Genomic DNA, 10,717 nt, shown 5'->3' with positions numbered 1-10,717 from the left:
CCTCCTCCTTGGTGCCTATTCTCCACTTCCCCGATCTTTCTTTCCAACCTCCTTGCCACATAGAATAGTAGTTTACCAGCAGGAGGGAACCCCATCCTGTGACTGCTTCTATGCAAGAACACTGGATATAGAACAAAAAGTTGTCTACTCTTCAGTAGTTGTCAAGCCGAACCCAAGGTAAATGAGCCCTTCTCATCTTGTGGTGGGAATAACTCTCCAAGAGGTAGAGGGGAAGTTTAATTTGCTTTTAGTAAGAGCTAATCTGCAATTCCTCACTTTTCATTATAGCAAAGTAATTTTCAAAATATATCCTGCCATACCAAATACAGATCAAATGAAAGCAGAAAGCAGGACACTGCCTCCATTTATTTGTTGCAGTCTTTACTGAGCCTGGTGGAGGCTGAAGTCTGTCTTTTGCGCAGCAACTCACTACAACGTTTACCAGCACAATGCCATGTGATGGAAAGGGTTTTTAATCTAATTGTGGGTTTCCAGCCATATTTGAAAAGCAAAAATTTATGATTTTTTTTTCAATTAATCTATCTTGCAGTTTGGCAAACAAAGAACAACTTAACTTCTGCAAGACCATATTTGTTCCATTTTTCCTTGAAAATACACAATGTAATACCTCCAGTCTGCCTAATTAATTGGAAAATTTTTCCTTTTTCTTTCCCAGAGGCAGGCATACTTTCATTCTAAAACAAAAAGCTGTTAATGACTGAATCCAAATGCAACCCGAGTGTCTCCAAGAATATTTTAGATTATCTAGTGGTAACCTTTTTTGGACTGTACCAGCAGCTTAAAAGTTATGAATATGAGCTCCTACCAGTGTTTACCCAAGAAGCTACTTCAGTGCATTTTCATAGGTGACAGAACATTGTTCATGAGGTAAGCCTTCCAGCAGTATCAATTAGTGAGCATTTTAACTATGATGAACACACACAAGGTCTTGGCTCCCTTGACAACTAAGTCTGAAGCAATATTTTTTTTGATATATAGTTTTCCTATTATGGATATCTTGCAACCAAGAGCAGAATTCCAGTTCATACTCTTGACGACTGAAATGCCCTGATTCACTTATTGTACTACAGAATACCTATTCTATGTCAGAACTGTGCTAGGTACTGGGCTATTTGGGTATACCAGATAGCAGAGTTGCTCCAGTACCTAGGGACCTCTGAAAATAGAAAAACCTGACTTGTATTAACAAGGATTAATCAAGATTCTTCTCTGCCTTGGCCATCATGTCTGGCAGTTCTATGAAATGCTGCGATTGCCTATGGACTTAACTGTAATAAATTTGGAAAGAGAGCCACTGAGTCCCTGATTCATTCATTTATTTGAAATATTTGAGTACCAACTTTGGACCAGGCACTGTTCTAGGTCCCAGGGCCATTCTTCTTGCAGAACCTGCACTCCATATCCTTAAATTTAATAGCATTTTATCAAGATGATTTTCTACAGACTCAACAGAGGTTGAAAAGACCTCTGTTGTCTGAAGCCATGAACTGTTATTTGTACTGATTGTATTAGTGATATCTATTGGCACATATAGCATAAGGAAAAATCATTTAGGAAGCCATCCTTCTGCTTTCTGAGACTTATGGATGTATAGTTCCATTGACTGAGGCTTAGTTATGTGCCAGTGGAAATATCCAATTTGAAGACCGAAGCCAGTCCTGCAGAGTCACCAGAGGACTTCATCATGGGCAAGGCCATCTCTCTGCGAGGCCTCCAAGAGCTCCAGCTACCCCTGCTCCCAAACACACACGGGTCTGCTCCAGCACTGAAACATGGGATAGGAAGCTGTGACAAAGGCAGGAGGGCATTTAGTAGATGGATTACATTTGCAAATATCCCTTAAAAAGCAACAGGGAGCTTGAGGCTGATGGGCAATAATTTTTATTGCATTTATTATCATTCTGAGCAGAATAAAAAGTAATGTGAGAAACCCTGATTTATAAAAGGACTTTGCGATCACAGCAGTCTAAGTTCTCCTTCTGACTACACTGCCTGCCACCTGAGCATTCCAAGCAAACTCCTTCATCTCTGAGTCTCCATTCTCCTGTCTGTAACATGAAGACTATGGTGCCCACACCTTCGGGTTTTTCTGAGTAAGTCAAGAGAAAGTGCCTATCTTGGTGCCTCATACAAAGTAGGGGCTCAAATGTGTTACAAATCTGCCCCTTTCACACTTTATATAGTGTAACTTTGTGCCTTTATGGATGACTGAGAAGTAACACAGCATATCCACATCAGAGTTCCATAGCGTACAGTAATGTGAAAGTGTCAATATACTATTCACCCTATTCAATCATTCTACTAACTAATGACCATGTTCTGTGTGAAAGGCACTGTTTCAAGGAGGACAACTGACATCAAGATTTGTGTTATCACATAGTCATTTAATTCCAGATCTGTAATATTTTTAGGTAAAGCTTTGAATCAATTGCTTACCAAGGATATTTGAAGAAAAAAACAGATTTTCTTCTATACTTCCTATGTATGTCCAATTTCTTTTGTTTGTTTGTTTGTTTTGTTTTGCTTTTCTGAGACTGAGTCCTGCTCTGTTTCCCAGGCTGGAGTGCAGTGGTGCGATCTGGGCCCACTGCAACCTCCGCCTCCTGGGTACAAGTGATTCTCCTGCCTCAGCCTCCCAAGTAGCTGGGACTACAGGTGCGCGCCACCACGCCCAGCTAATTTTTGTATTTTTAGTAGAGACGGGGTTTCACCATGTTGGCCAGGATGGTCTCCATCTCTTGACCTTGTGATCTGCCCGCCTCGGCCTCCCAAAGTGCTGGGATTACAGGCGTGAGCCACTGCACCCGGCCTGTTCAATTTGTTTTTAAGAGGCAGGATTCCAATCTCACAGCTAGAAAATGTGGTATTCAGGGTAGCAGTTATAATACTGTAACTATATTTCTCAAGCCATAAATTGACATGTGGTCTGACAAGCATAAAGTGTACTTCTGGAGACAGTGGGATAGAATATTTGAAATCAGAACTGGAAAATTTGGGACATATGAAGGCTATAAATAGTGGGCAGAGACTGAGCTGGTTCCAGCAGAGACTCGATTCCTACTGAGAACCACATAATTAGCCAGCCCCCATTTGTTACACATATAAATACTGGTACATAAGACAGGCAATTTAAACCAGCAGAGTAAACAAGCCATGCCTGTGCCAGAGGGCCGCCTGTCACACACATTGTTGTTCCCAGAGGTCTGCAAAGCCCTGTGCAGGATGAAGCTGCCTTTGAGGAATTGACAATTCAGCTGGGAAAGAAAGCTAGCACACTGATATTGAGAGCTAAACACACCCACACACTGCAGTGTGTTCACTGACATGAAATGGTTAATCTTCATTGGCGCTTCCTTCTACAGGAGGGTGATTTTACACAGGAGATTTTAAGGCATCCATGCTTCTTCCCGGTGGGAGAAACTGCCTTTTGCTCAAATCCATCAAGAAGTCACTTCTCCTACCCAGGCTGACAAAACAATACTGGGATTAGAGCAAGATAGAGAGCTGGAGCTGGGAGTAGCAGCAGGCAGCAGGCACTTCACAGAGCATCTTTCAGGGGATTATCCTTCTTTTACCTTCACATTATTATTAGGAATAATGGATAGCATCTCTCTACAAAATATAAGAACCCTGATGCAAGACTTTGACTGTTCCAACACAGAATGACAATGAACAGGAAGTGTGTGGGGCACAAACTTATCAAAATAATGATCAAAACAATCCCCATGGTGAAACTATGAAGATGAAGGAGGTTGCTCGGAATGCTCTGGTGGCAGGCAGTGTAGTCATAGTTGGTACCTATCAGACACTCTAAGAGCCTTGAATGTGTCCTCTCTTAATCTCATCTTTTACAGGGAAGGGCATTGAGGCTGAGAGACATTAAGAGACACTTGCTCAAGTTCATACAACTTCCAGTAAACTGTACAGCCCCAAATTGAATCTAAGTCTTCCAACTCCATGATTCTAAACATAACACCCATGGCAAGAGGAAAAATTTTGTAAAAGGACTCATCCATTTCCAACGAAAGACCAGAGCAGAGACTATTCTTTCAGCCTTACAGCTCCTCACCACACAAGCATCAGAATCACTAAGGAACATCTTGGAAATATTGATGCTTGGGGCCCATCCTGCAATTTCTGATTCAGGGGCCTGAGCATGGGCCTGGGTCTCTGGATTTTGAAGAAGTTCCTCAGCCTATGCTGGTGATTTTCCTACAGACTTATTAAAAACTTTGACAAACCCAGTTCTATCTGGCTGAGCTTCCACTTATTTCTTAGTGAAAGGGATTACAAGTCTGCATCTAATGTTACTATTTAGTATTTGTTGGTTGCCAAGTATAAGTCCACCTCTGATGAACATGCAGGAATGGCCAAATAGCTCTAATTCCTTGGTAGTGGTTCAGGCATTCTCCAAAAAATTTTGAGTTTTTCATAAAATTCCATAAATTTCATAAAATTCTCTAGTTGATACCTAGAGATTTTATATTAGGTTGAGGTCTACTCTGGGTGACACATTCTTGACTACTGTAATAAACTAATATCAGAATAAGCCCAAACCAGGCTAAAGAGCACTCTCACAGAATGCACTCAGGATGGCCAAGTTTGTGAAAAAACTAGAGGCAAGAAACAGCAGCCAGGGGGTAGGTATAGCTATGCAAACACTGTGCAAACACAACTCAGGTGGCTTTTGCTAAATGGAATATATAAATTTAAACACATGGCATACATACATACTTCCACTAACATCAAATTCCAAGAATACTAATCTCTACAAATTACACAAAATAGGAAGGCAGATAGAATGAAGAAAATGAGTCCATTTCCAAAACCTTCATTTGAAAATTTTTGGTCTTCTACCACAGAGATGGGTACGAAAGAAAAACATTGGACCAAAATATTCAACTCCATATTTCTGTAAAGTTCAAACCTCAGAAGTTATCTATTCTTTAATGTCTTTAACTCCATTCCTACTGAAGAATGGAGTTAAACATGGTACACTGGACTCTTGGCTCAATGCTGGAAAAGAGAATGGTGCCAAGGACAACTTATATTTCTGACCTGTCTCTGCTGCTCAGTGGTTTAGGTAAAAGATTTGACCTCGATGCCTCCATTTCTCAATCTGAAAATCTGAGAGGAAGGAAGAGGAATGTTGGTAGATGAGAAGCACCACATTTGTACTATACTTATGCTCTAATTGCAAACTACCCACAGCTATGTATATTCTGTTTTATGTACTTTATAAGAGTCAGATGTGGAATTCCCTGTGGTGGTGGTTGGTTTAACTCTCTAGAAACTTGAAGGCAAGTAAGAACTAAAAAGAAACTCAAGAAATAGACCTTAAAAATTAAACATTTTGAATATTTTCCTTCCTAATTTGTTTTGTAAAGAAGTAGAGTGCAGACTCTCCTCAAAGGAGCGCTTTCAAGTGAATCATAATCACATGCATGTGCAAAGCCATCAGTGAAGTCTAGATGTGCAATTAAATGCCTAATTTTGCTTAAAGAGCCCTGCATTCTTTACTCCCTGACTACGCCCTCAGGAAAACACACAGTAGCCTTCTCTCTTGAGTACTGGTTCTTTAAAGTGTTTATATGCCATGAAAGTGCAACTATGTGCCCAATTAGGGGTGCAATTGCTGGACTGAAGCATGAAACTCAGCTTTAGCCCCTACCATGCTGGCTAATTCTCCAGATCCTGGTTACCAACCCAAAGGGTCATATTAGTCAGCTTCCTCTGTCATCCTGGGGCTCAGTGAGAAGCATTAGATTCTTTTATTCTTTGCCAGTCTTTGAAAGGGTATGAGGGAGAAACAGTCAAACCAATGATTTTATAGTGTTCTTTTAGAGGGATTTTATATATTCCTCAACTAAATGATTAAAAACTATCCTCAGATATTGCCCTGCTGATGTGGAGAGAGGTAAATATGGTAGGGAATAAGGAAAGAAAAATAGGAACTCTTCCTTTAATTCTGTCTCTTTCTACAAATCCTGATCAAGCCAATTTTCAGCCTGTTGAAGAGAGACTGTGGATTACCAAGATAGACCCACTGCTAGGGAACTATAGCATATGTTCTCAAAAGGTTGTGCAGTAAGAATTTGGAATATTCTCTATTTAAAAATCATAGATAAATCTCTTTCATTGAAGGTTTTATACTGGCCATCCCTTTCCTCAAGTAACTGCCAAATCAGGTCATGGCCAGTGGTGGAATGGGCTGGGTGAGAAAGATCAGCACCAGGGGTTAGACACCCCACTCCACAGGGCAACCAAGAAGAACAGCACCCAGTGGTAGATAAGAGGAAGAAGTCTAGACATGGAGGTGTGTACACAGATTTCTGAGGAGCAGGCAGCGAGAATAAGGGCAAGAAGAGGAGAACTGGTGCCAAGCAACATGTAACAGCCATGGGAGTGAGATGCAGAACTTCAAGCTCTAGGTAACCACTGGGAAATGGCTGACTTGGTTCCTTGTATTTCTTCTTTGGTTCCTCATATCCTTTAATTCCTTGTATTCAGCTTTTCCTCTGGGATTTCCTCTTGGCCATGAGAAACAAGACAAAAACCCAGGTTTTGGGACCTTTTGCCTAAACTTTTACTGTACTCCTACTATGTGTCAGGTGTTGATTATAGTAGTAGGTGTTGATAATATAACGGTAAACCAGTAGATGAAAGTAATAGTCAAGAGGAGATCTAATGAGATGCTTGGACTCAGGGCATCTATTACTTCTACAGACTCAGGGCATCTTTCAGCAGATTCCAAAGTCTAGGATGACATGTAAGTGATTTCAGTTAGAGGAATTCACGTTCTGTTGGAACAGAGCTCCAGCAGGCAAGTCTGGACCCTGAATTACTGGTGTATGTTTATTTCTCTTCCCTCTTGTTTGTCCAGGCTGCTGCATTTCTACATTCCCAGTCTTACTAAAAAAAAAAAAAAATTTTTTTTAACATGTCTTGCCTCATTTCTAGTTGGCAGAGCAAAAATTTCAGCTGTTGATATTTCATGCCTCACAATAAACCAGGGCTTGACTTCTCACTGGCAAGTTGTCCCCTATTGTGTGGTGGGCACACAGCTCTCTGGGCTTATCCTGCAGATTCTATTCTTGCTCTTGCCAGAATAGCTCTGTGTGACTCTGTCATGACTGAATCACGAGCCAAACCGTTGAAGTGGTGAAACGTCAGCGCCAGACCACTCAGAGAGATGAAGTTGTTATGTGCTTCAACATAAAAGACAAAGATTTATGAAGTAAATCAAAATAATTATTTGAAATTTATCCTTCTCATCAAAAATATGCCACCTTGGTATATAGTATTAATAATATGACAAGGATAAAAGATCATTGTCTTTCTTTTGATACTTGGAATTGTGAATAACAAATAAATATGATTTCTGTTGACAGAGAGGGAAGGGACAGGCTAGAAAGTGGCTTGCTTTTATGGAAATCAGTGAAGTGCTCGGCAAACCCTTTTGTTTTTGAAGGTTATAATTATTGGTTATTAGTGGATCTAACATTCATATGATTTTTTCCCAACTAAAATACTGAGTCATGATAGTTACGTGGCTTCCATTAAACTGGAGAAGACATAGAGCTGGAGAAATCCCACAGAGCTGAAACTTAACCAGTGTAATAGAAAATCTGTCCCACAAATGCCACAAGGCAGAATGCTAAAGTGGAGGTATTTAGTGCCTGGGAAGTCAGAACCATCTAGATCTCAATTCTGTCTTAAAACTTTACCCCACCTTAAATATCCAATGGGTTTAAAAGGACAGAGAAATACTTGGGGTACCTGATACACTATGACAAACAGGCAGCCAACAGCCCTAACACTGCCCCTAGCACGTCAAAGGCTTAACGCCAGCCACCTCCCTCCAGGTCTTCATTCTCTCTCCTTTATATATCATTCAGTCGTTTCCTACTGATCTCTCACTCTTAGTATTTCCTCTTCCTCACAGATGCATGTGTCAGAGTAATCTTCTAAAAGCCAGCTTCTGTTCATGGCACCCACTTGTCCAACGACCTCAAGGGCTCCTCTTTAATAATAGCAATTGTAGCATCCATCAGTTTACTAGGTTTCAATGCTGTGCCTTATTTTGATTTTCACAATGATCCTATAAGGCAGGGGATAGTTCTTCCATCCATTTGATAAACAGGCATGAACAAATCCTTACCAAAATAAGCAATGAGAAAACCAAAGACCAGAGAGTTTGAGCAATCTTGCTAAAATAAGCCCTCCTTTTAGCCTTTACACATAGATCTATCCAGTTTGAAAGGTGGGGATCTCTCTAGTCTTCCAGACTATCCCACTGGAAAAACACACACACACACACACACACACACACACACACACACACACACACTATTTCTTTGGCATACAAGGCCGTCCAGAATTTAGTTCTAATAGATATCTTCAGTTGGATCATCCCCACCCATATCCTTTGCTTTGGCCAGAAAAAAATTACATGAAGTTTCCTAGAAAAGTCCAGCCCATCCTTTGTCTGGACCTTTTATCCTAGTCTTACCTCCTAAAATGCTTCTGCCCATCTAAATTCTGCCCACCAGTTGTGAAATGCTAAGGCTAAAAATCTACCTTTGCCACCAAACCTTCCTCAAAAGCACACTGCACCACTAACACACCAACTAGAAGTGACTTCTCCCTCCTCTGCCTCACAAAGGGCCTTGTGACAGTCTCTCATGGAGTGTGTTTGTGACACGTATGAGCATGATCACAAGCTTTGAAGTCAGAGTTCAACTCCTTGTTTTTCCACTTACTACTTAAACCACAGGACTTTGTCCCTACATCATTGTCCTCTACCATTATAGGAATTCAATTACATAAAAAATGGAAAGTGCTCAGCACAACCTGCCAAGGAGCAAATTTTCAAATATATATCATTGTTATTCTTAAAATGATTCGTATCCATACATTATTTCTTCTGCTGATCATAAGGTTGTTTAAGAGGGGAACTACCTTACTCAGTCTTCCAGCCACGCTGTGCTTAGTGCTGCATGGTAAGGTTTGATGAATGAAAAATAGACATGATGGCACTTCCAATCTAACCTCAGAACATTTAGGCTGCAAAGGGATACCAAAATTCCATGTAATTATACAGTAAAATTGCAGCAAGTAAATAATGAGGCAGCAAGGGTTTAATGTGTTCCTGGGTTATTGTTGTGTCTACTTAACTCAGATGAGTAGGGTCCAAGGTCTATGAAGCCACCGTCACAGTTAAAGGAGAGATAAATGCTCCAAATGCACCTCCCACTCTCTGTACATGGATGAAGAAGAGCTTACCATGCTTGAGGAGAATGGCAGTAGCAGGAGAAGTGTCATAGGAGGAGGAGGAATGGCAGCTGATATTTATTGAGTATTTAAATAGGTACCTGACAGTAGCTTAAACATGTGTGTTAACTCATTGAATCCTCACGACGGTCATTTGAGATAGCCACTAGTCTCCCATTTTTAGATGAAGAAACTAAGGTAGAGAAAAGTTAAGTAACTTCTACAATCTCACAGGAAGTGGTAGAACAGGGATTTGAACCAGGGCCCTTGCATTCAATAGCTATCCTCTATATATCACAGGAGCAGTATGGACATTGTGCTGTTCCCTTCCACAGGATCAGTCCAGCCAGACCTCAGCAGAGAGAGCTGTGCCTGATCACCACTCACTGCGTTTACTGGGCTGCTTCCTCTAATAGATCCAAATGCCATAGAACCTGTGTTTTTACTCTGGGAAGGATAGAAAGAATATTGACATGAGATAGTAATATCTACTTTTAAAAGCCCATACTTACATGTTTGCAAAGTCAGTTTCAAGCCCATGAAGATGTCTGGGACAAAATGACCAACATGGGTAGAGCTACCGGTAAAACCCTGGCACTGTGAGCTTTCTGACGAGTTCGTGGGGGAGGCAAAGCAGGTACAAGCTGACACTAAACAATAAAGAGAAGCAGCCTTGCTCCTGGATTAATTCTTTCAGGAAAACAAATACAAGCAATTTGATGAAAGTGTCTTTAAAAGTTACCATTGCTTTAGGCATCTACAACTTGGACAATGAGCCCATTTATGTTGCAAAATTAATATTAAAATTGCTGCCTAAGCTAGTTAACATAATGAGAGTGCCTTCAGACTGAAACCATAAGAAAAAGAAATAGATCCACATAAAAGAAGCCCAGAATGGCTGAGACTATTCATTAGCATTGCTTTTACATAAATCACTCAATTCTTGAAGGGCCAGAGGCTACCATATTCTGAGGCATGAGGCTAATCAATTCAGGAGGAAGGAATTTTACAAACCTTTCTTGAGTTTGCCACATCCTAGGCTGTGGCAAATCTTTGCTGTTTCACTAAATATATAATAGGTAGACATTCTGCCTCAAGGATAGTCTGTGTGCCAGAGTGGATTCAATATGGTTTGGCTCTGTGTCCCCAACTGAATCTCATCTTGTAGCTCCCATAATTCCTGTGTGTTGTAGGAGGGACCCAGTGGGAGATGACTGAATCATGGGGGCAGGTCTTTCCCATGCTGTTCTTGTGATAGTGAATGGGTCTCAGGAGATCTGATGGTTTTAAAAACAGGGGTCTCCCTGCACAAGCTCTTTTTGCCTGCTGCCATCTATGTATGATGTGATTTGCTCATCCTTGCCTTCCTCCATGATTGTGAGGTTTCCGCAGACATATGGAACTGTGAGTTCTCCATTAAACC

General features: G+C 40.9%; 1 long non-coding RNA gene across 1 annotated transcript; it reads right to left on the bottom strand.

Annotated features, from left to right (window-relative positions):
* Positions 1-724: 724 nt before the first annotated feature.
* Positions 725-10,237, bottom strand: LOC124901959 (uncharacterized). The gene is made up of 3 exons (XR_007060960.1): positions 8,534-10,237; positions 5,080-5,148; positions 725-1,806 (listed from the first exon to the last, which is right to left on the bottom strand). It is a non-coding gene; the product is annotated as an uncharacterized LOC124901959 (long non-coding RNA).
* Between the last annotated feature and the right edge of the window lie 480 nt (positions 10,238-10,717).

Source organism: Homo sapiens, chromosome 8, assembly GCF_000001405.40.
Source record: "Homo sapiens chromosome 8, GRCh38.p14 Primary Assembly".
NCBI lineage: Eukaryota > Metazoa > Chordata > Mammalia > Primates > Hominidae > Homo > Homo sapiens.
This window is presented reverse-complemented; position numbering and strand designations above follow the sequence as displayed.